General features: G+C 35.0%; 1 protein-coding gene across 1 annotated transcript in view; it reads right to left on the bottom strand.

Annotated features, from left to right (window-relative positions):
- The window catches only part of PTPN4 (protein tyrosine phosphatase non-receptor type 4), a 224,978-nt gene that overhangs the window by 82,733 nt on the left and 115,534 nt on the right, over nucleotides 1-26,711 (bottom strand). Inside the window, exons 4-10 of the mRNA NM_002830.4 lie at nucleotides 24,802-24,844; nucleotides 24,625-24,703; nucleotides 20,337-20,381; nucleotides 20,018-20,070; nucleotides 19,544-19,664; nucleotides 16,285-16,372; nucleotides 1,361-1,449 (exon numbers count right to left, since the gene is read on the bottom strand). Coding sequence (NP_002821.1) covers nucleotides 1,361-1,449; nucleotides 16,285-16,372; nucleotides 19,544-19,664; nucleotides 20,018-20,070; nucleotides 20,337-20,381; nucleotides 24,625-24,703; nucleotides 24,802-24,844 — 518 coding nt within the window. The remainder of the gene's footprint in view (nucleotides 1-1,360; nucleotides 1,450-16,284; nucleotides 16,373-19,543; nucleotides 19,665-20,017; nucleotides 20,071-20,336; nucleotides 20,382-24,624; nucleotides 24,704-24,801; nucleotides 24,845-26,711) is intronic.

Here is a 26,711-nt window from a genome sequence, read left to right as displayed (position 1 = left end):
AAAAGATTTTCTGATTATCTGCAGCATGACTATGATAGTGTGTAAGTGTGGATTTTTGGGTTATTTAACCTGCTAGGTATTCTCTGAACTTTCTGCATCTGTGATTCGGTGGCTGTCATGAATTTTGGAAAACTATCAGCCACTATTTTTTCAGATATTTATTTCTTCTGATCTTCTCTCTCTTTATTCCCATCACATATCTTAAATACTGTTCTTTCATTCCTTTTTCCCATCACTTTTCGGTTTTTGAAGTTTCTATTGACATATCTTCAAGCTCACTCATTTTTTTCTTGTGTATAATCTACCGATAAGACCAAAGGCATTCTTCATTTCTGTTGCAATGCATTTTATTTCTAGCACTCCTGTTTAATTCTTTCTCATAAGGTTTCCATCTCTGTGCTTACATTTCCGTCTGTTCTTGTACGTTACACACTTTTTCCATATACTTTTCCCTTAGTATATTAATTACAGTTATTTTAAATTTCTGGTATAATACTTCCAAAATTTCTTCTATATCTGGGTCTGGTTCTCATCCTTGCTTTGTTTCTTCAAATTGTGTTTACTGCCTTTCGACACGTCTTGTAATTTTTTGCTAAATGCTGGATATGATATACTGGGTAAAAGAAAGAAATAAATATGCCTTTGGTGTGAAGTTTTATGTAGACCTGGCAAGGCATAAGACTATGTTTAATGTTTGTGTACAAACCGTAGGTGTCAGAGGTTGTAATTTTCTCTATCTTTGTTTTTCACATCCTTGCTGTCTTCAGGTTTCCCTAAGGGACTCCTAAACAATCTGAGCCTTACAGTTATTTTAGTTGTGATTCCCTGTTATTATTTATGAGCCATGTTGATGTGGCAGTAAGGTGTGGGACAGGGAGGAATCATTCTTTCATCCTGTAATTAGGTCTTAGTGGTTTAGTGGTCTGTGCCTCTTGGCTGCGATCTTCGGTGCTTCTCAGGTCAACCCCTCCTTAGGTGAGACAAGAAAGCAGGAGGGGTCTAAATTGGGTATTTCCATTCTCCTACTTTGGTTAAACTCTGATAAAACCCATATTGGTTAGATGCTGGTAAAACAATTTGCCCTGGGGGCAAATCTCTGCTAAAAAGACTGGAAAGCTCTGATCATCTTTCAAAAATTCCATAAAAGAAAAACTCATAAGTAATAATTTTTAAAAAGTAATTTTGAAATAAACCATTTTGGTGTCTTCTGGTAGGTGCTAACTAAGTGGGATAAAGTATAAAGTTTATCTCACAAGTAAAATGACAACATTAAAATAGTTCAACAGCCACTGCCTTTAATATAAATTATTATATTTAGTAATACAGTGGTAAACATAAAAGTATCAATAGATGTTCTTACCATGGAAAGGTATTCATTCGTACCCTGTTCTTATAAATCAGAATTCCTCCTGACATCACTCCAATCATAATTTCATTGTTACTCTGATCCTTCAAAAAAAATGAATAAAAACATGATAAATCTAAATTTATGGGCTTTGTTAGAGATATATTTTAAAAATAGGATTCTATTTTTAAAACTAAACATTGCATTTTCAAAGGTTGCAAAGAACCGAATACTAATTAGAAACCCAAATGGTACTTATTACCAAATAAAAATAAAGAACAAATTTTAAACCAAACTGAAATGTCTTATTAAAATTCTTTAATCTAAAGTAAAATGGATCTCAGGATTTCCCACAATTTATGACTAGAACTGACTCTTTGGAATAGGAACCAAGAATTCAGAAATCAGAGACCTTTTCCTTAGTATTCATTTTACCATTCCTAAAAGTATTACAATCCATTTACTAAGTAACTGTGATGCTAACATCACAAACATGAATAAAACATGGAGGAATTCAGAGTTTGGTGAAAAGGAACCCAATAAAGCAATATTTACAACATAATGAGACGTCCTATAACTAATATAATACATTAGAAACATCATGAGAGTATATAATAGAGAACAATTCTTAGAGAGTTTAGAAGACCCCGGAGAATAACATTTGAATTGTGCCTTGAAGAATGAGTGAGAGTTTTCAAACTAAATGACCCAATTTGAATAGCTAACCTACACTAATGAGAGAATGGGTAGAATAAAAATACATTTCTTAGATGCTAATTTACCTTGAAACCATTTTGCTTCTTTATTTAAAAGATTCTACAAGTAACCTAATACAGGAGGCACGCTTTTACCACCTACCATTCATTTAATCAGAAGATAGAACTTATTAATAAAATATAAACTAGATTTTATCATTGTCTTCCTAGAACAAATACTTTATAGTATCAATAACTTCTAATGAAATAAAATCTTATTAATCTGTTAGGTAAGGTAATACATAAATGGTCAAATGCAACAGTGTATATTAATTTGCATGGCTGCCTTTGACTAGCAATAATCAACATTATTTTAGTACACTATTATCAGAGTATTAAAAAGCATGTTTTAAAGGACATCAATTAGAAGTTTGGATCAAGATGTTAAGACTGAGCCTAAATGATGCAAGGGTAAATATATACTCCTATTAGCCTATCTGCTCCCAACCTCATAAAACATTAGAGAAGATATACATTAGGGAAGATATACATAAAGCAAAAGAATCTGTAATACTTAAAAACAATCTATAACATATGAACATATGTTATCAATGGACCAGACATTTTGAGGAATCCTTAAAGATATAAAGTGGTAAGACTAGATTTACTGAGAGGAAAAAAAATTCATAAAACCACAGCCCAAACTACGTAGGAAAGAGACTGCTCTATGTGGAGGTAAAAAACAGAAAAGAAATTTTCAGGTACGAGTTCAGTTACCATAGATAAAATAATTAAGAGAGGCCTGCAAATTACTGTCAGGATAATCAGGTAGGGAGCAGCTGTGGTAATTAACTCCGAACAGTCCCATAATCCCACTCCAACTGGATTCAACTATAGGAAATGAAAGTGTGAAGCCTGTCTAAAACAGCAATTGTGGACAGTAGGTCCAAAAATTTAGAATTAAGGGTAATCTTCAGAAGGAATGAATGGAGAACCCCAAACTGAAAGAGGCAAACTATAGGCACATTGTAGCTGGCTTTGTATTCCTTCCCACCTTAACCATCACATAAGGCAGGCTACAGTAAAGAGAAACAGCATTCGCAACCAAGTGAACCAGAAATCACAAATACAAAAGACAGTACATAACCAAAAATCATCAAGTATTTGTGGAAAGCTAATACCATTAGAGAGATATACCAAACCCAATAAACAGAGAAGCCAATCAAGATACAATGTTAGTAGAAAAACAAGTTTAAAAAATAACATATTCAGAAATATGTAGGAACTCAAGTTTTAAATTATAGATATCTAGACTGAAGGGGCAGTTCCCAAGGCATTCCTAGAGTTGGGTAAGATAAAACGAGAGAACAAGTATTATAGCCTTCAGGGACACAAATGTTATTAATTCCAATGTCTAGAAAAATACACTTTGACCACCTTAATTTAAAATACCTTATTTTGCTTTTCTTCATATCACTTATTAATACTGTACTATAAATCTAATAAATAAATTATTCACTAGAACCCAAGTAACAGAGAGTAGAGCTATTTATTGGATTCTTAGGCATAGAAAAAAGTACCTCGTAGGCATTGAAAAAAGTACCTTGTACTCTTTTGCAGCATGAATGGCTCCCTATTATTGTCTGTATGAAAATGTCTTAGCTGTTTAGCTTGGGATCCAAGGCCTTTATACAACTATTCCCATTTAATCTCTCCTCCCTAACTGGTAAAAATCTTCTACTCTAGCCAGGCCATTTTTATGATATGTTTTGTGTGCCCACAATTCCGTGTTAAAAATGTTCTCATATCTCTGATCATATCTCCCTGCCAAATCAAGCCAAACCAAACCAAAGTCTAGCTTACATCCATCTTCTCAGTAAAAATTTTATTAGCCCACATCTACATGTTTCTCTCATATTTATCTGTTTCTTAAACCACTTATCTGAAAGACCTAATTATTGTAGAGATAAGGGCTGAGATTGTGTGTAACCGTGTCTTTCAAACTACATGTGGAAAAGGACCAGTTATGTTTTGTTGTTTAAGTTTCCAATCTGTCAGCTACTGATGCTTTTGCAAAACACACTAACATGCTTTATGTCAGACTGCTATAAAAGTAGCTAAATCTTACACTTAATTTCTGCATGTGTCTCTTCACGGACCAACTACAGTTTACAGACTGGCAACAGTCTGTGGATCGTACTTGGAACATCAACAAACAATTACATCATTTCACACTCCTCCAAAGAGCCTACTTATCAAATACGTTATTTGATTTCTGATGGTAATTTTATGCTTACACTTAGCCAGTCATATTACTAGAAAATGTTTAATACACAATCAGATTATAAAGATTTGTGATGAGCTTTAACTATGTAGTTATCTTTGGAACTATGATTAAATGATAATTAAAGGGGAGAATTTATAACATGCAGTGGCTATATGGCTTGAAAATGTAAATTCAGAGCAACTATGAAAAAAGAAAGAAAATGGGAGATAAAGTTAAAAATTTTCATTGTTCTAGTAATAACTGATATGGTAATTATAAGTACTATCTTTAATTACAGGATAGCATGAAGCAAGTAAATAATTATAGGATATGTGAATTGTAGAATTCTTTGAGCCCTAAGAACCAAAATATTCTGTGTATCTCAATATAGATATAGAAACTAGCAAATGCCCAACTCTGTTCACTTAAAAAGCCTAGAAACAATGACCAACCCAGTAGGAATAAGCATCCTTAGCACCCACACTGAGATTTTTGAAATATCATTTTCCATTAAAAGGGCTTCTTGGAGAAATGGCTAATTTCATGTCTGTGGCAAAACATCTTAAAAATACTAGATAGCATAAAAGCTATCAAAGCTAGACCAAGATCATGTCAAAAGGACTTAGGAGGCTGGGTGTGGTGGCTCATGCCTGTAATCCCAGCACTTTGGGAAGCTGAGGCAGGTGGATCACTTGAAGTCAGGAGGTTGAGATCAGCCTGGCCAACATGGTGAAACCCCGTCTCTATCAAAAACAAACAAACAAAAAACAAAAATTAGCTGGGTGTGGTGGTGTGCACCTTTAGTCCAGCTACTTAAGAGGCTGAGGTGGGAGAATCACTTGAACCCAGGAGGCGAAGGTTGCAGTGAGCCGAGACTGCACCACTATACTTCAGCCTGGGTGACAGAGTGAGACCCTGTTTCAAAAACAAAACTTACGAGCCAAAAGAAGAACACTCCCCACTGGTGACCAAAGATGGGCTAATTTGAGCTTTAATAAGGAGAATAATTATACTGTATTAAATCTTATCAGTAATATCTAATCCACCACTTCATATTCATTACCTTGAAAACCAGGTAAATAAAAGGAAAAGAATCAAACATTCTTTTCCATGTGTTTTCTATATGAACTATACCACTGGGTAACTGAATAGTAAAAGAAAGAAAACGACCCTTTATAAAATCATTCCAGCAAATAAATAAAAACAAAAATATATTAGGATATCTCCATTTTGCTGCTTCCAATAAATTAATGGATCTAGGCATCCAGCATAAATGGCTGCTAGCACAGAATAAGAGCAAAACCCAGGCATTATGCACCACCTGAAAAAAGAACATAACAGACATCAATCTTGAATCTGAACATGCTGCTAGATTAAGCTGCCAATCTGCAGGAAATAGAGAGGACAGCAAATTATGTTGAATTACATTATGAATATGTGATCAAGTAAAATCCAGACTGTAAGAAACTACAGGTAAAATAATCCAGTGCTTTACAGGTAAATTCTAAGCACAAGAGAAGAAGCAACAACCTGTAGATTAAAAAGAGAGATCTCAGTTACTGTGAGTCAAATAAAATAACTAAACAACAGCAAGACCAAGCTACAGTTTCTACCAAGGCACATTTGGGTAATAAAAATTATTTAAAAAAAAATACTATGTAGGAAGGAGCTGTTATTGGGAAAAGGTTTCTGGAGTAACTGGCAACATTCTACCACTTGAACTAGGTGGTAGTTACAAGGATGTTTGCCTTACAGTAATTCAGTAAGATATACATACCTGTCTGTGTTTTATTTTACAACAGTATGTTTAAAAAGAGCAGGAAAAAAATGATATTTAAACTGAATATGAACAGATGTTCTAACATTTTCTGCACATACCCTAATTGTTCATTTCACTTTCTCTTGTGGTGTATAGACCGCTATCCCCTCTTTTTTTTTTTTTTTGAGACAGAGTCTGGCTCTATTGCCCAGGCTGGAGTGCAGTGGCGCCATCTCGGCTCACTGCAAGCTCCGCCTCCTGGGTTCACGCCGTTCTCCTTCCTCAGCCTCCAGAGTAGCTGGGACTGAGCCCGCCACCGCGCCCAGCTAATTTTTTGTATTTTTAGTAGAGACGGGGTTTCACCGTGTTAGCCAGGATGGTCTCGATCTCCTGACCTCGTGATCCGCCTGCCTTGGCCTCCCAAAGTGCTGGGATTACAGGCGTGAGCCACTGCACCCGGCCTTTTTCTTTTTTTTTGAGATGGAGTCTCGCTCTTGTCCAGTGGCGCGATCTCGACTCACTGCAACCTCCGCTCCCAGGTTCAAGCAGTTCTCCTGCCTCAGCCTCCTGAGTAGCTGGGATTACAGGCACCCACCACCATGCCCAGCTTATTTTTGTACTTTTAGTAGAGACGGGGTTTGGCCATTTTGGCCAGGCTGGTCTCAAACTCCTGACCTCAGGTGATCCACCCACCTCGGCCTCCCAACATCCCCTCCTTTCTTTGGAGACTACTACACTATACACAAACTAATTACCTAGGGTACTTAAATGTTCTGACCTCTCTACTATCACATGTTAACAGTACGATAACGCAAACCCACTCAATGTTATGATGTACATAAGAACAACATTAATTTTACACGGTGGAGACAGCCGTTAATTTTCTTAATTACTTTCAATTATAAAACAATTTCAAAACAATATACAACAATTTCAAATATCAAATAAGAAGTCAAAGACTCCCCTCATCACCTTCCCTGCCTCCTTCCCTCATTCTCAGAGATAACCGCTATTAACAATTTGGTGTATATTTTCCTCTATCTTTATACAACTTTTTCTAACACATCTATAAATATTTTAAAGAATGGAGTTTCAGTAATGGAAGTGAGCAAAGATTATATTCATATTTGCCCCCCAAAAGATTTCTACAAATTTATATTTCAACAATGTATTAGAGTGTCCACTTTCCCATACTCAGGCAAAAAATAGTTATTTTTAATCCTTTGAACTTTTGCTAATCTGATAAAATTGGTATCTCCTTGTTTTCATTATTAGTGACAAGTGCATAATATTGATCACCTATATTTCTCCTGTGAAATGTTTATTACATCTGTATGCCATATGTTTCTACTTACAAGTTGTAAAAAAATTATTCCTTTGGGGAACTCTTTATAAAACATGAATATTAAAAAATTTTCTGTAACATATGTTGAAATTATTTTCTTTTATCCTGTAGCAGTATGTTCTTTTCCAATATATCACTTGTTTAAAATTTTCATGTCTATTTTTAATGTAGTTAGGCATAAAGGCTTATACATTCATTAATGATGAAAAAAATGTTTGTATGCTTTATATAGGCCTAATGGAGTATGAGAATGCAAACAAATTATTCAGTGAAAATGAAAACAATTAGTGACCTATTTATGCTTTCATAAAGATGCTTGATATAGAAAGATGGTTGACTAAAAATAAAATAATGCTGTGTCACAATAAGTGAAAGCACACATCAGAATTATGGAAAACCACTATGTGATTTGAGTACAGTAGAGTGACATGGATAAAGTCATATGTATAGCTCCAATCTGAGAAAAGAGTTCCTTTCTCTGTTCCAAGAGATTACATTTGTAAATTGTTTCATTATTTTAATGGATCTGTCGAAAAGTCTTCAAATACATGCAGGTTAAAAATGAGGTTTTGGAAAGAAGCTATAAATTGGCTCTTAATACAGAAATAGGGATTATATGGTCACATTACTTAACTTTTCCGTGTCTCATTTTCCTCATCTGTAAAGTGGAGATAATAATACTCCTGCCTCACAAGGCTGTTGTAAGGATTAAATGGGATTAACATACATAAAGCCCTAAGAAGGATGGCTGGCACGCAGTAAATGCTATATAGGTGTTTCCTCTTATTATTATCTGTGTCCTGTAGAGCAAAAGCCCTCAAAATTACTGTTCTCCGTTTTTGTTTTTTTTTTCATATTCTCTCATCACTCTTTGGCCATCACTGCACCTCCAAAACTGCTCTTGAAAAGTCACCAGTGACCTCCACTTTTCTAATCCAGTTCTCTGTCCTCATTTTATTTGACCTAACAGCATCATCTGACAAAGCTGACTGCTCCTGATTTACTTGGCTTCAGAGACACACATTTGTGTCTTTGATAGAAAGAAAGGCTCTCCTTTCTGAATGGCTGCTCCTTCTTGGTTCTCTTTCCTGGTTCTTCTTCATCTCTTCAAATTCTAAACATTGAAGTGTTCTAACTTTGAGGACCTGTTCTCTTCAACATCTACTAAATTTACTTCCTCAGTGCTCTCATCTCATGATTTTAACTATTAACTATACGCTAACAATTCCCAAATGTATTATTTCTAGTCCAGACTTTTCCTCTCAACTCCAGGTCTATAAATTGAATTGCCTACCCCTCTTTCGTGAGGATTTACGTCTCTTCAAATTTAACATGTCCCAAGATAAATTCTTGACTTATGCTTCTACTAAATCTACTTCTCCCAGGTCTTTCCCAACTTAGTAAAAGTTCAGGCCAAAAGCTTTGGAATAATTACCAAATCCTTTTTCTCTCACACCCATAGCCAGTACACATGAGTAAAAGCTGTCACTTCCATATTCAAAATATATTCAAAATCTGATTACTGTCCACCACCCCAATACTACAAGAACCATTACCTTTCACCTGGATCACTCCAACAGTCTCTTCCCTTAGTATCTTATAGTATACTCTCAAAACAAAAGTCATTGTTATATTTTAAAAATGTAAATTCACAACATGTCTTTTATTGCCTCAAAACTCTCTAATGGTTTTGATTATAATTAAAAGCCAAAGTCCTTAAAATGTTTTATAAAGATGTGGTGGCTCATGTCTGCAGTCCCAGCACTTTGGGAGGCCGAGGCAGGTAGGATTGCTTGAGCTGAGAAGTTTGAGATCAGCCTGAGCAACATAGCAAGACTCCATCTCCACTTAAAAAAAAAAAAAAAAAATTCAACCAGCATGGTGACACATGCCTGTGGTCCCAGCTACATGGAAGGCTGAGGTGGGAGGATCACTTGGACCCAAGAGACCAAGGCTGCAGTAAGCTGAGATTGCACCAATGCACTCCAGCCTGGATGACAGAGCAAGACTCTGCCTCAAAAGAAAGAAAGAAAGAAGGAAAAAAAAAAAAAGTCTTAAAAGTTCTTGTCTGCTTTGATCTCATGCCCTAATACTCTCCTCTCCTTGTTCGCACTACACAAGCCACACTAAACTCTTAGCTATTATTTGAACTGCTATATACACTATTTCATTGCTCTTTCCTCTGCTTAGAATAATCTCCTCCCAGATGTTTGCATGGCTCTTTCAGATCTGTTTACCTTCTCAGTGAGACCTTCCCTGATCCCTCATTTGTTTGTCTTAATTCCCCTTTCTCAGCTTAACTTTTCTTCATAGCATCTATCAATATCTGATGTATGACCTGCTTAATTTTTTAAAAGAACTGAAGTACTGTATAGTAAAATGCACATTTCTTAAATGTACAACTCAAAATTTTACACACATACATACACGTACCTATTTACACTCCAACATAACCATCACAAACCAATATATAGAACATTTTGAAAAATCCAGAAAGCTCCCTCATGAGTCTCCCAGTTAATAAACATTCCTCCAGAACTGACTGCTATTCTGACTTCTATCAATATAGGCTGGTATTTTGCTAGTTACTGAACTTCAATGGAATCAAATAGTACATACTCTGATATACCCATAATTGTTCATTTATAGTTTTGTTTCTTGCCCCACAGAATGCAAGCTTTGGGAGGGTTCAGTTTTATCTACTTTACTCACTGCTATGTCTACGATATCTATAAATGAGACCATATTACTGCATGCAGCCAGAATCGAAGTCTATGTACCCTACTCAACCCAAACCACAGATAAATCTTCAGGAAAAAGTCCTCCCCTACAAAAGCAAATTCAAATATAAGCAGCAGCAACTATTGCACAGATACAATGTAAGCACACAGGAAACATGAAATAGCAAGAAAATATGGTATCTCCAAAGGAATACAATAATTCTCCAGCAATAGATCTTAATCAAAAAGAAAAGTTCAAAATCCCAGCATGAAATAAAGAATTCAAATTATTGACTTGAAAGGTCTGTGAGACCCAAGAGAATTCTGAAAAACAATACAAATAAGTCAGGAAAACTATTCAGGATATGAATGAGAAATTTACCAAAGAGATATTTTTTTAAAGAACCTAATAAAAATTCTGAAGCTGTTTCATGCCTGTAATCCCACATTTTGGGAGGCCAAGGTGGGTGGATCACCTGAGGTCAGGAGTTCGAGACCAGCCTGTCCAACGTGGTGAAACCCCATCTCTACTAAAAATAAAAAAAAATTAGCCAGGCATGGTGGCGTGCGCCAGTAATCCCAGCTACTGGGGAGGCTGAGGCACGAGAATCACTTGAATCTGGGAGGCAGAGGTTGCAGTGACCTGAGATCACACGACTGCACTCCAACCTGGGCAACAGAGCAAGACTCCGTCTCAAAAACAAACAAACAAACAAACAAAAAACTGAAACTGTAGAATTCACTGAAAAAAATTCAAAATACATTTGAAAACTTCAACAATAGCCTACATCAGTCTGAAGAATGAATCTTGGAACTTGAAGACAGGTCTTTCAGAATAATCCAGTCAAACAAAAATAAAGAAAAGAGATGAAAAAAGAATGAGCAAAGCCTTCCTGAAATTTGAGGCAAGATAAGGTGACCAAATTTACATGTTACTTGTACCCCCAAGCAGATAATAATGTAAAGAGGTGTTCTGCATGGAACATTATAATCAGACTGTCTAAAGTGAAACTTCAGGAACAAATCCTAAAAATAGCAGAAGTGTCTCATCACCTATAAAGAAAATCCCACCAGTCTAACAGTGAATTTCTCAGCAGAAATTTTATAGGCCGGAAGACAATAGAATGATATACTGAAAGTGCTGAAAGAAAAAACCTGCCACTCCAGAATACTATATCCATCAAAATTATCACTTATAAATGAAAGGGAAATGAAATCATTCACAGACAAATAAATCCTGTGGGAATTCTATACCACTAGATCAGTTCTGTAAGATATGCTCAAGAAAGTCCTAAACTTGGAAGTAAAATGATGACATTTACCATCATGAAAACACACAAAAGTATAAAACTTAATGGGTAAAGAAATATAAAGGAGGAAGAGAAAGGACTCAAACAGTATCACTACAGAAACCCATCAAAACAACAACCTATAAGAGAAAAAGAAAGAAACACAGAATACATATAATAACCAGAAAACAATTAACAATATGAAAAGAACAAAACCTCACATACCAATAACTTTGAATGTAAATAGATCAAATTCTCCTCTTAAAAGATACAAAATGGCTGAATGGATTAAAATACATAATTCAACTATATGTTGCTTAAAAGACACTCACTTTTTCATTAAAAACACATATAGACTGAAAATAAAGGGATGGAAAAAAATACTCCATACAAATGAAAATGAGAAGTTAGGAGTACCTCAGCTTTTATCAGATAAAACAGATTTTAATTATTTCAAGAACAGTTAAAAAAAAAAGACAAAGAAGGTCATTATATAATGACAAAGAGATCAACCCAGTAAGAGGACATAACTATTCTAAATATATATGCACCAAACATTGGAGTACCCAGATTCATAAAACAAATATTACTGGATCTAAAGAGAGACACAGACTGCAATACAATAATAGTAGGGGACTAACACCTCACTCTCAGCATTAGACAAATCTAGAAAAAAAATAAAGAAACATTGGACTTAAACTGAACATTAGATCAAATGGACCAAACAGACACTTACAGAACATTCCACTGAACAATGCAGAATATGCATTATTTTCATAAGCACATGGAACATCTTCCAAGATAGGCCATATGTTTGGCCACAAAACAAGTCTCAACAAATTAGTTAAACAACATGCTTCTAAATGACCATTGGGTCAATTAAGAAATTAAGATGGAAATAAAAAAATTCTTTGAAACAAATGAAAATGGAATACAACATAGCAAAACCTGTGGGATACAACAAAGGCACTGATAAGAGGAATGTTTACAGCAATAAATGCCTACACAAAAAAAGGAGAAAGATTACAAGTTAACAGTCTAACAATGCATCTCAAAAACCTGGAATAGCAAGAACAAAACAAACCTAAAATTAATAGAACAGAAATAACAAAGATCAGAGCAGAAATAAATGAAATAGTGATCATAAAAAAAATGATGGATAAATGAAACAAAAAGTTGGTTCTTCAAAAAGATAAAGAAAATTAATAAACTGCTAGACTAACCAAGAAGACAGAACACCCAAATAAGTAAAATCAGAAATGAAAAGGAGACACTGCAACTGATACTACAGAAATACGAAAGATCATCAAGACTTTTTTTTTCTTTTTGAGACAGAGTCTCTCTCTGTCGCCCAGGCTGGAGTGCAGTGGCGCCATCTCGGCTCACTGCAAGCTCCGCCTCCAGGGTTCACACCATTCTCCTGCCTCAGCCTCCCGAGTAGTGGGGACTACAGGTGCCCACCACCACGACCGGCTAATTTTTTTGTATTTTTAGTAGAGACGGGGTTTCACCGCGTTAGCCAGGATGGTCTCAATCTCCTGACCTCGTGATCCGCCCGTCTTGGCCTCCCAAAGTGCTGGGATTACAGGCATGAGCCACTGTGCCCAGCCCATCAGAGACTATTACGAACAACTACAAGCTGACAAACTGGGAAACCTAGAGGAAATGAATTCCTGGAAACATATAACCTACCACGACTGAATCAAGAAGAAATAGAAAACCTGAAGAGACCAATAATGTGTAGTGATATTGAAATCAGTAAAGAAAGTCTCCCAACACAGAAACGCCCAGGACCAGATGGATTCAAAGCTGAATGTTACCAAACACACAAAGAAGTAATAACATTCCTGAAACTATTCCAAAAAAAACTGAAGAGGAGGGAATTCTCCTGACTCATTCTATAAGGTCAGCATTAGCATCATACCAAAACCAGACAAAGATGCAAAAACTAGAAAAAAGAAAACTACAGGCCAATATCCCTAGTGAACACAGACACCAACATCTTGAACAAAGTACTAGCAAACCAAATCCAACAGCATGTTAGAAAGATAATACACCACAATCAGATACAATACATTATATCAGGAATGTAAGGATAGTTCAACACACACAAATCAATAAACATGATATATCACAAGAACAGAATGAAGAATAAAAACCATATAACCATCTCAAAAGACATTGTAAAAGCATTTGAAAAACTTCAACATCTCAACAAATGCACAAAAGGAACATACCTCAAAATAATAAAAGCCATATATGACAAACCCAAAGTCAACATCATACTGAACACAGAAAAGTTGAAATTGTTCCCCCTAAGAACTGGAAAAAGACAAGGATGCCCACTTTCACACTCTTATTCAACATAGTAGTGGAAGTCCTAGCCAGAACACTCAGGCAAGAGAAAGAAGGAAAAGGTATCCAAATTGGGAAAGAGGAAGTCAAATGGCCTCTTTTTGCTGATGATATGATCTTATATCTAAAAAAAACCTAAAGACTCCACCAAAAATGCTTAGATTTCATAAATAAATTCAGTAAAAATCAACACATTAAAAATCAGCAGCACTTCTATACATCAATAATGATCTAGCTGAGAAAGAAATCAAGAAGGCAATCCCATTTACAATAGCTACAAAAAATACCTAGGAATAAATTTAACCAAGAAGGTGAATGATCTCTACAAGGAAAACTACAAAACACTGATGAAAAATTTAAGATGACACAAACAAATAGAAAAAATCCCATGCCTTTGGATCTGAAGAACTAATATTGTTAAAATGACCATATTGCCAGAGCACTCTACAGATCCAGTGCAATCCCTATCAAAATACCAACATCGTTCTTCATAGAATTAGAAAAAACAATCCTAAAATTAATATAGAAACAAAAAAGAGCTCAAATAGCCAAAGCAATCCGGAGCAAAAAGAACAAAGCATCAAATTACCTGATGTCAAAATATATTACAAGGCTACAGTAACCAAAACAGCATGGTACTGATATAAAAACATACACACAGACCAATAGGACAGACTAGAGAACCCAGAAACAAAGCCAAATATTTACAGCCAACTGATCTTCAACAAAGTCAACAAGAACTTACATTGGGGAAAGGACATTCTCTGCAATAAACGGTTCTGAGAAAATCAGATAGCCACATACAGAGGAAGAAAACTGGACATCTAGCTCTTACCATATACAAAAATCAACTCAAGACAATGAAAGACTAAAGTGTAATACCCGAAACTATAAAAATACTAGAAGAAAGGACAGGATCTTGCTGACACCCCAGCTGGAGTGAAGTGGCATGATCATAGCTTACAGAAGCCTTAGACTCCTGGGCTCAGCTGATCCTCCTGCCTCAGCCTCCTGAGTAGCTGGGACTACAGGCATGCACCACCATGCCCAGGTCATTTTTTAAATTTGTAGAGATGTGATCTCATTATGTTTCCCAGGCTGGTCTTGAACACCTGGGCTTACACAATCCTCCTGCCTCGCCATCCCAAGGTGTTCGGATTATAGGCATGATACATTATGCCCAGCCCCTTTTTATTTTTAACCATAGTTTAATTCATATATTTAAAGTTCCATCTGTTTTAAACTTTATTATAATAAAAAACAAACTAGTTACACAAATACTGACCAGTACATTACATTTTTAAGAATCATGTTCAAAAGATATAGGCCCTAAATAAGGAAGGAAAATAAAGGGGCATATTTTAAAGAAAGCAGAAAGTTGAACTTAAAATAAAAGTTGAAGGAAAAAAAAAAAGAAAGCTGAAGGTTTCTAAGAGACACATTTTAAATGGAATCAGACAAAAAGATTTCCAAGTAACACTCAGAATTACAAGATAAAATCATGTGAGGAAAGCAATTCATCTGGTCTTTTAAAGGAAAGATTGACATAAGCTTTGTGAAACATAAGAACTAATGTTCCTCTCCCAGAACATGGTCAGGTAAGGTCCTAAAGGATAAAACCATTACATGAAGTAGAACTTTGAGTACTTCAACAACTATCTGTGTACCTGTGAGTGTCTGAGTATTAACATGATTGAAAATAATTATCTAAGAAAAATATTGGCTCTGAATTCTCTTTCAGGTTGATATCCTTTTTAGGCTCAACTATTCATTTCCAAGAGAAGATAAACGCTATCACCAACTCAACTGATGATTATAATTCCACTTTTCACTGGGTATAGAATAGCTGTACTCCAAGAACTTTTGATAGAGAACTCAAGAAAAACATGAGGAAACACACAAATACAGGATAAACACTCACAAATATGCTTATGCCAGGAGGTTACCAGTTTTTCAAAGGCAGCAATGTTTGACACAAGGGAAAAGAAGTCACACGGTATAATATAGAAAAAGTCAGTGACTATAAATTCCACTTCACTACAGGGATGGGGGGAGATAAAAATGTTAATATGCTCCATGTTGTGCTTTATAAATAAAAACTCGTAATAGTGCTTTTAAATGATGAAAACAAAGTAAGTGCACTAATACAGGCCTCAGTGATGTGAGAACATTTTTAATGATCATTATTATAAAAGTATACAAAAGCCACTTTTCCTATAGCCTAACAATTATATTTTAAAATAAATATTCTAAAGGTACTATATCTTACGGTCTGTAAAAATTATCTTTACATATAAAACACTACCTTGAAGAATCCACATTAACCATCCTTCACATTCGGGAATTGAATCTTAAGTTATTGTGAAAATACTTAAATTCAGAGGAAATTTTCAGTGCAGCTGTGTCAGCAGCAATCATAACTTATTCCATTTGTTATCTAATCTTAAAAAATGTTATATTGAGTAACGGAGCCTAACTCAACAACATCAAAGTAAGTTTTCTTCACTTACCCTTGCATAGTGGAATTCAACTCCATAGAGTTCTAAGGTACGTGCTGTGTTTAGGTAATTAAATTCTGCTTCTGCAGGAGATAAGCCTCTATAAAGACATCATTAAGTTAAAAATGAGATCAATCAATCAATCAAATAAATATGGCTAAATTAGAAAAAGGCTATTTATCTGAAAAAACTGAGCAGTCTAATTAAATCTATGAAACACCATGCAGGACTACTCCTCTAACTTATCTGGAGGGCACATTTTCAGTAACCCAAATTATTATTTTCCAGAATACTGTCTTATTTTCTAGAAATACAAGAATACACCAAGTTTTTAAAGCTCCTCACTATTTATATGGGTGACTGTAACAAAACCCCTCACTTTTAGATATAACTTAAAAGCAGTATTTCTCAAAATTTGGTTCATATACCATATCTGCATTTAAATCACACAGGATATCTCTGAAACTTGCAGATTCTAAGCCAACCTCCAGGGCAGTGCTTCTCAGAGTGTGGTGCACAGACAGAGGTTGATTCACAGTATGGAACCTGAGTGTTGGAGGCTTGTATAGCAATCTGCCTGGGTAATATCTGTTAAATCTAACAGCAAAAAAACAAAACAAAAAAACAAACAAATGAGGACTTGTATTTTTTACGTCTTTGTTTTCTTTCTCCACTTTATTTTTCTAGTAATTAATTTTTATTATATTCTACAAAATATAAGTAACACAATAATGACAGCTGGGGGGAAGAAATCATCTTTCATCACAGATGGTTTAAGAAGACTATTCTGTAGAGTCTGATTTAGAAAGGATGAGGTCAAAACTGTTTATATTTAACAAGAATACCAAGTGATTCTTATAAACACAAGTTGAAGAACCATTGCTCTAAATGTAAGGCCTTTAAAAATAGATTTACTCCTATTTCACATATAGTTTTTACAACCTTAGTTATCTGTTATTATCAGACTACAGCAGAGCAAAAGCAGCAAATTACAAAAACAAAGATACAAACTTTCTATTCACTAATGCTACTAGAAAAGGGAGCCAACAGCCCGCTAATGCATGATCATAACACGACTCCTCAAAAAAAACAGTACACTTCCAATTTCTATAAAATTAAATTAAATATATACTCCCTCCAGTTAAAGTGGATACTTCTGTTTTTCTTCATTTAAAGATCTGATGAATCATTTACTTAAACCAAATAGATATATATAATCAATAAGCTTTTCCTTAAGAGTCTTTTCATTATCGGTAAATTTAAAAAAATCTGGCTTATCTTCAAACTCTTGATTCTGATATGCTGTATGTATAACTTTCACTATGAATGGAATTTACTTAGATTAAAATAGCCCCCTCACCACATTAGGTAGTCCATTAAAAACTCAGTCATTAGTCTATTTTAGATCAGGAATCAGCAAACCTTTTATTGCAAAGGGCTGGACAGTAAATATTGTAGGCTTTTAGGACATACAGTCTCTGTGGCAACTATTTAGCTTGGCCATTGTGCGAAAACAGCCATAGACAACATATAAATGAATGAGGGTATCTGTGTTCCAGTAAGTGTTTTATTCATGAACACTGAATTTCACAAAATTTCACATGCCACAAAATGCTATTCTTCTTTTGATTTTCTGCAACCACTTAAAATCTACATAACAATCTTAGCCTGTGGGCCATATAAAAATAGGCAATAGGGGCTGGGCGTGGTGGCTCACGCCTGTAATCCCAGCACTTTGGGAGGCCAAGGCAGGCGGATCACGAGGTCAGGAGATCAAGACCATCCTGGCTAACACGGTGAAACCCCATCTCTATTAAAAATACAAAAAATTAGCCAGGCATGGTGGCGGGCACCTGTAGTCCTGGCTACCGGGAGGCTGAGGCAGGAGAATGGCATGAACCCGGGAGGCGGAGCTTGCAGTGAGCTGAGATCGCGCCACTGCACTCCAGCCTGGGCAACAGAGCGAGACTCCGTTTCAATGGCCATGGTTTGTTATCCTGTTTTAGATACATGAGTTATTAGTAAAAGAAAGTAAGTTTTCTTAATAATAACAACAGCTAACATTTCTTCAGTGCCTACAATGTGCTATGTATGGTTTTGAGAACCTTATGTATATAAACTCATTTAAGACCTACAGTAACTCCAGAGATAGATACTTTTATTATCCCCAGTTTACGTAAGGAAACAGAGAAGAAGAGGCATAAAACAGTTTGGCCAAGGTTATAAGATAGTAAGTAATCTTACAGAATTTCAAACCAGGCAGTCTGGCTCTTTAGTTCAGACTCTTAGCCAATACGCAACACTGCCTTAGTTTTTCCCTGAGTATTCTGAATTGTATATTGAAGCACAACTGAATTCTGAACCAATAAACAATATTACTTTCTATTCAAGGCAACAAATCTCTTTTGAAAAAATAATATATAAAATTATACTCACACAAAAAAATCAAAGTTGAATGAATATTGTTAATGAATGAATATTGATAAGGTTAAGTATCTCTTATCTGAAATGCTTGGGATCGTAAGTGTTTCAGATTTCAGATTTTTTCAAGTTTTGAAATATTTGCATATACTTAATGCAATATCTTGGTATAGAAACCAAGTCTAAACATGAAATTTATGTTTCATATACACTTTATACACATAGCCTGAAGGTAATATTATATAATATTTAAAATAATTCTGTGTATGAAACAAAGTTTTCACCGAATGTTGACTGAAACCCATTACATGGGATCAGGTGCAGAATTTCCCACTGTGGTGTAATGTCAGTGCTCAAAAAGTTTTAAATTTTAGAGCTCTCTGAATTTCAAACTCTTGGGTTAAGGATGTTCAACCTGTACTGTTCTTAAAGAAATATTTTTTAAAAATTAATTCAGTATTATATAGAGTTCCTGTTCTCCTCTTGGCTCACTACCAAGGAGAATCAAGTCCTTTATACCTAAAAACTGAGAAAGAATTACTAAGCAGACTGATCTCTATATTGTGACTATACTGTTTATATTCTAAAATTATTTAGACTATTACACAATAGCAAATAAATATCTGTTTACAGATAGCTTAATGGCTCTGAATAGAAATGAAAATGAGCTTCATATATTCTATGAAATCGTTTTTTAGCATAGATCACCTATATTTCTTTATGATAATATTATTTTAGGTAACAGTAATTGTTCTATATTAAATACAGCCATCATATTAGAATTTCAAACATTTCTCTAGAAAGAATGCCATTAAGAAGTTTATCAAATAAAAAACTAAAAAACTCTTACATGTGTTGCTGATGTAATTTTGCAATTTCTTTTTCAAAATCTTGAGGTTGATTAGGAATGAAAGAATAATCTGAGAGGTAGCCTGACAAGTTCTCTGACTGATCGTAGTCTCCAAGTTCAGCTAATAATGAAAGGAAAACATTCACATTTTAATAAACAAATTTTTAAATTATTATAGTCAAATCAGCGATGCCATTAATTCTATTTCTGGATGTAAAATACTTATGTTTCTAATATAACCACTTAAGCAAGCCACAGCAATCCATTTAACATTCTTCTTGGTCTCAATTTCAGAGGAAATTTTTTCAAAAATCATAGTAATTGCTAACTAACTGGAGATTTCATTACATTTCCACTGCAGTCACTATTTTCTATATAGCAACATTTCTAAAGAACTCCCACATTGAAGCCAATGTACTAGCAACACAAACCACAGTTATATGCTATTTGACCTAAAAATGGGCTGATACTTACACTGAACAGCAAATGAAGCTAAAAGGGCAGCAGTATTAGAAGGACAGGGTAATCTAATAAAACAAAACAAAAATACACAACCGAAGGTTAAACATAGCAATTTCAAAAGTGCTATAATTTGTTAAACAATCACACTTGAAGTTTCATGTGATTTGATTTTAACTGTTAAGAAATAAACTTATCTGATGAAAGGAATTCACACTACATGTAACCTTCTTAAATAATTTGTTTGCAATGACCATGAATTACTTAACACAGATTTAAAAAGTATTTTTAAAGTCCATTACAAAAAATTTTTTAAGAAATTTAAAGAGCCCACCTTCCAGTAAGAATGTCTTGTTTAATTTGCAAAAAATACTGGTACCTTAAAAACAAACAAACAAAAAGGATAGCATTTAATAGAATTGTAACAATTTCAATTCTAAGAAACTGTATACTTACATTAACAAATAAACATATTTAAATATTTGCTTTTATAATTTACATATTAAAACATGTAAAGTAGTTTAAAAATAAGATTTCATAAGCTCATGAATCTAAATCTTTAAAACTCTTTGATGTATGAAATTTGTATTTCGAATGTCTTGTTTCCACTAGCTTCCATTATAGAAGCCCTCAAGATTTCAAATAGTTACATGACAGAGGGAGAAATACTCTTGAGGGTTGGTATATGCAGAAAGAAGTGGGAAGCATAGAAAACCTGAGTATCACAAACATGGAAGAGCATTGTAAGCAATGCACTAGAGACCAGCGATGATTTTCGCTGGTCTGAGATAGAAAGCCAGCTACAAGGACAGGCCAGCGTTTTGATCATTTTATCATCAGATGGCAGGAAGCTGCCTGTTACAGAAAAGCACCTATACACTTCCATGTGAATTAAGGAAGTCTCTCTTTGATTGGCGGGGCAGGGGAAGAATACTTTTGTCTACTATTGTTAGAATTGTCAAGTATTCAATTTCCTGTGAAACCAACAAAAACTTAGGTTTTCTTTAACAAGCCTGCTGTCATTGCTTACAAGATAGCATTGTCCTTTGGTCTCTGCTAGTGGGTAACCCACTCAAAGATTTGTCAATACTTGGGCAAAGTCACCTGTGTTGTATAGGGGTGGCAGAAGACCAAACTTTTTGGTTTTAAATGTTTAACCAGGAAATCTTAAGATTTTTTATTTCACTAAACTAAAAAAAGTACATATTCCAAGAGTCAAAAGTCATTAGAAATTCTAGTTTGGCTGATTAAGTCACTGAAGAGCTCCATGACAATATTCAAATTACCAAAGAGGTTTTCAGAGAATCAGATATTCATTACAAAAAAAAAGAATACAAACATCCTGGCTTCATATATAACTTCTTGTGAGGCTTAGTGCATAATATTATAAATATAATCTATTTACTCAATCCAAGACAGTATATTTCTATCAGGCCTGTTTTGGTTTAATAATTCAAAGTTATCTGGGAGGCCGAGGCGGGCAGATCACAAGGTCAGGAGATCGAGACCATCCTTCCTGGCTAACACGGTGAAACCCCATCTCTACTAAAAATACAAAAAAAAAAAAATTAGCCAGGCGTGATGGCAGGCACCTGTAGTCCCAGCTACTCGGGAGGCCAAGGCAGGAGAATGGCGTGAACCTGGGAGGCAGAGCTTGCAATGAGCCGAGATCGCGCCACTGCACTCCAGCCTAGGCGACAGAGTGAGACTCTATCTCAAAAAAAGAAAAAAAAAAAAATTCAAAGTTAAAGGTTCCTGGTAAGAAACAATCTTATAGTCAGGATTTAAAGGTCATGCATATCCTTGCCATAATATTGTAAATCTGACATAAATAATGCCTATACTTGCCAAATTTTACTTACATACTCATTTAACCAAGAGGCAAGAACTTAACTGTTAAAAGTAGAAACCAGAATTCAAGTCCTAGGCAAAACTAGCCTGTGATCTTGGGCAAATTAGTTAAAATGTGGCTGAGCCTTAGTTTCTACATTTGTAAGAAGAAAGTAGTATCAACTTGCCTAGTATATGTATCTCAGGAATTGGAAAAATTCAGTTCTAATGATGCTAGCACCTGCTAAAAGTAAACGGTGTTTAACCTGGTGAACCTGTTTGACTCCATTCTTTCCCGCCCCCCACCCCCCCATAATTTCAAAATTAAAGGAATATTTTTCACTAATTAAACTAAACTAATTCATTAGTTAAAGGGATATTTTAAAAATTAATTTAGTATTACATAGAGTTTATTTTCTCCTCTTGGCTCACTACCAAACAGAGTCAACTTTCATATAGCTAAAAACTGAGAAAGAATTACTGAGCAGATTCATCTGCATATTGGGAATATACTATTTACATTCTTGAAATCTCAAGGTAAGGAGGTGCAGCAGATTTCCTGTTTCCTGGGGTCTAAACTAGTTCTGAAAACTTAGCAGCTGTGGCAGAAGGTGCACTGTTACTAATCATAACCATCACATTAAGGCTACTCAAGCATTAAAGCTTTGGCTAATATGTAGCCTTGGCTATATATTAGAATCATTTGGGGGAACTTGTGCATGCCTATGCTCAGGTCCCATCTAAGACCTGTTCAATCAGAATTATCTAGGGATGTGGCCAAGACATCATTATGGTTTTAAAGCTCCCCCAAATGATTCTAATTTCTAATCAGAGTAGAAAAATCACTGATATACACTATGGTAGTAAAATTTACAAAAAACTAGACATTTACCCCATTTTACCAAACAATACCAGTTATAAGATTCCATAACATTCCATTATAAAAGGGTCTGAGAGCAAATTAATTCCTTGACTACCATCAAACTTGATTTTACTTTCTTCTGCTTCAGGCAGTTATTTCAACTTATTAGTGAAACATATTTATTTCCTTATTATGTTTTCAATGCAGGCTATAAAAGAATCAACACATTCTACCTCCATTCAGAAATTCAAAGACAGTTTTTCAAGTGAAGTACATTATAAACATAGTTTTAACTGACAATATTTTAAGGGCTACAATATTAAGCTAAGGTGTATACATATAACACGACTTTGTTTTTCATTTTTGTTTTTTTTTTTTTTCAGACGGAGTCTCACTCTGTCGCCCAGGCTGGAGTGCAGTGGCGTGATCTCGGCTCACTGCCAGCTCTGCCTCCCGGGTTCATGCCATTCTCCTGCCTCAGCCTCCCCAGTAGCTGGGACTACAGGCGCCTGCCACCACACCCGGCTAATTTTTTGTATTTTTAGTAGAGATGGGGTTTCACCGTGTTAGCCAGGATGTTCTTGATCTCCTGACCTCGTGATCCGCCCACCTTGGCCTCCCAAAGTGCTGGGATTACAGGCGTGAGCCACTGCACCCGGCCACAACTTAGTTTTTCAAGAGGAATTAGCTTGGATTCTACTAATAGTTGCAAGCATTAGGATTACATAATCCAGAGACTACATTACTGAGTTCTCCCATTTGTTAAAAAAAAAAAAAAAAAAAGGAACACCTGCGCACCCACCCCAAAACACACTGACTGAAAAGAAATCTCTAGAATTTCAATCTAATTTTTCTCACTTGGTTTACTACTGAAAACTCTGCAAACACCTTAGAACTGGCAGCTGCAGCTAATTAAATAATTTATCCTTTTGTTTCTCTACTCCAAGACAGTATCCTAAATGATAACCAATACATTAAAATTTAACATCCCATCTATAGGTAATTTTAGGTATGGATTTTTTAATTTTGACACCTATCTTTTAGAGTAATTCTGAATGTAGTCACTGGCCTATATTCTTATATCTGAGAATTTTACAGAGAGTATAACATGCTAATTTTTAACTGTCTTTGTAAAATAACTCATTACTAATTCTGTCTTTCAGGCAACACACAAGGTTGTCATTCAGGTTAATACTGACAGTTACTACACTGTTGGTATTTCTCCATTTCTACCTTCAATATTTCACCCTATAATCAAGAACATTATCAAAATGTTCATCTGGATCATTCATGTGTATATACTCTGTCAAGTCGAAATGACCATAAAATTAGATAGTAACATAAGCTGAGACTTAAAATGGAGAGTCAAGTGGGCATGTAAAGGCCTCAACATGCTAGTGCACTCTCTGCAACATCCTTTATAAACTCCATTATATTTTTTTGGAACCAAAGATTAAAAACACATAGGGGACAAAAGGTACCTACTGACCCGCAAATAATGGTTATATATTTTATAAATTCTATGTTCTCCCCAATAAAAAAAGATACTAGAATATGCTTTCACATGGGAAAAAAAAAACCCAAATTTCTCACCACACAGCATCCTTTGGATACAATTTCAGCACATTTGATGACCTCAATTAATTATAGCCACACTTAAGCAGTGTTCACAAGTAGAAATTTTTAATATTTACATGGTTCAGGAAGCTGGGGCTGGACTGGGCAGCCCTGAGGTTCTAAATCCCCTTACACTCTCCCAGCCATCCAAAAAAGGAGGAAAACGTTATCTTGGAATAGCCATAACTTATTCTGTGTACTGACTGGAAAGCTCAGAATTACACCACAGTAATTTCTTTTTGCCTAATTAATTTCAAAATTTCATATTAGAGTTTTGACAATATTTTCAAGAAAAATATATCCATAAACCCACCTTGTATATTCTTCTTGTAACTTGTTGGGGTCACTTACAAAAAATTTGACTCTAAAGTTCAAACTGTAAGGAGATCCTCCTAGAATTAATAAAAGTAGTTCTAATTAATCAGACTATATTAATCCTTTATCTTTATAAAGTAAACTTGCAAAACATTAAGTAAATATGTATGCTCACTCTTTAGCTGCTTCCTTATTGGTTTGTTTGGATCCAGCCACCTCTGAAAAATAAATAAATAAAACTGATTTCTTTTTTCCTTGAGGAACTACTATATTGATTCTTGCAAATCTGTTCCATTTGGAGATTAATGCTAAAAGCTGCATTTCAGAAAAGGCCCAGGTAGGAAAAAAATCATTGCATTACAGACAATATTTTTCATATCAAATGTAATAAAATTATGCTAGAAATTAGTGAATGTGTTAATATTAAGATTTTGATTTGACTTTTCCATCAAACAGTACAATGTGCAACAACCTCTATTTCATAAGTAAAGATAGTTAATAATTGCAGCAACCTGAAGTGAATGTGAAGTGATTCACATTAATCTAACTATATTTCTTAAAAGTCTGGCAAGTTTTCAAAATTCTCTTCACCCTTCACGCACACACACACACACACACACACACACACACACACACACACACATGCTCTTGGGCTTTATACTCATTCAGGCAAAATTCTACTACAGAACTTGAAAATCCACTGAGGAGAAATTTTATAACATTTGCCTCATTCCTTTAAAAATAAAATACCTCCCATTTGAAAAAAACCCACCAATTTTTAAAGATATAATGTTTAGTTTTGAGAATGATTGATTTTTATGTGTGAGAAATTTTAAGCAGTTTCAATACTTCTGAAGGCCAGTTTAGCTCTATTTCTGGACAATTAGGACTGAATTCAGAAAAACTTCAACTGCTAACATGTTTCAATTAAAAAAAAATCAAAGAACCCAAAATGAGGTACTAGATGTGGTAGTATTTTCCAAGTAAGTTTATGTATCATTATTTATAAACCTAACTTCTACCACCCATAATTAAATCCAGGCAGAACACATAGATTTTTAATAATAAATAAATGGCTGGGAGTAATTAACAATGATTTCCTCTCCACTGTCCATAACATCCAACACATCAAATCCAACTGAGTCTATCTGCAAACTGTATCTAGAATTTATCAATTTATCATCCTTATCTCTCTAGTCTAAGCTCTATCGCCTCTTAATTGCTCTCCCAGTTGATTTTCTCATCACCATGTCCCTCTTCATGCTCCATAAAGAAGCAAGAATAGTCCTAAAACATAACTTTGAGTATGTCACTCATTTGATTAACACTTCTTGATAATTTCTCAGTACTAGATCCAAAGTCCTTACACTACAGCTTGTATGGTCTCTTCTTACCTCTTCCACCTCAGCTTACTAAATTCCAGCCATAATGGCCTCCTTTCTGTTTCTGAAAGATGCCATCATAAGGCCCTCAATTTCAAGCTTCCCTTTCACAGAATGCCCTCTAGATTTCCTACAGTACTCTTCATTATCCGTAAGTCTCAGCTTAAAGCCTGCCACCTCAGAAAGGCCTTCAACTGACCACCCTACCAAAAGTATGTCGTACAGCTCCCATTTAACAAGTAAGGAACATTATATCCCTTCATTACATTACCTCAATTAAGTTTGTTTCACCTTTTGTCTTTTTTTGTCTGACTCCTTCATTAGATTATAATGAAACCAGGGATAAAAGCTGTTTCAGTCAATACTGTAGAGTCAGCACCTAGCACAGGGCTTGACATAATATGAGTTAAAAATACTGTCAAAAGCAGTGGCACACACCTGTAATCCCCTGTCTCAAAATAAGAAAGTAAGCAAAGTAAATAAGTAAATAAATAAATAAATAATTTACTGAAGGACTAAACCTGCTGAATGACTCAATAGCTGGGGGTAGGGTTTTCAGCCCTGTTTAATAAACTTCTTTCCTCAATCATCTACCATTTATCCACCTTCCCATCCATCTATCTATTAATCTAGTGATTTTTGTTCTTCATATCTTCTAGGAAAAGTCATAAATTATATCCACTTTAATGACTGTCTACAATCA

Source organism: Homo sapiens, chromosome 2, assembly GCF_000001405.40.
Source record: "Homo sapiens chromosome 2, GRCh38.p14 Primary Assembly".
NCBI lineage: Eukaryota > Metazoa > Chordata > Mammalia > Primates > Hominidae > Homo > Homo sapiens.
This window is presented reverse-complemented; position numbering and strand designations above follow the sequence as displayed.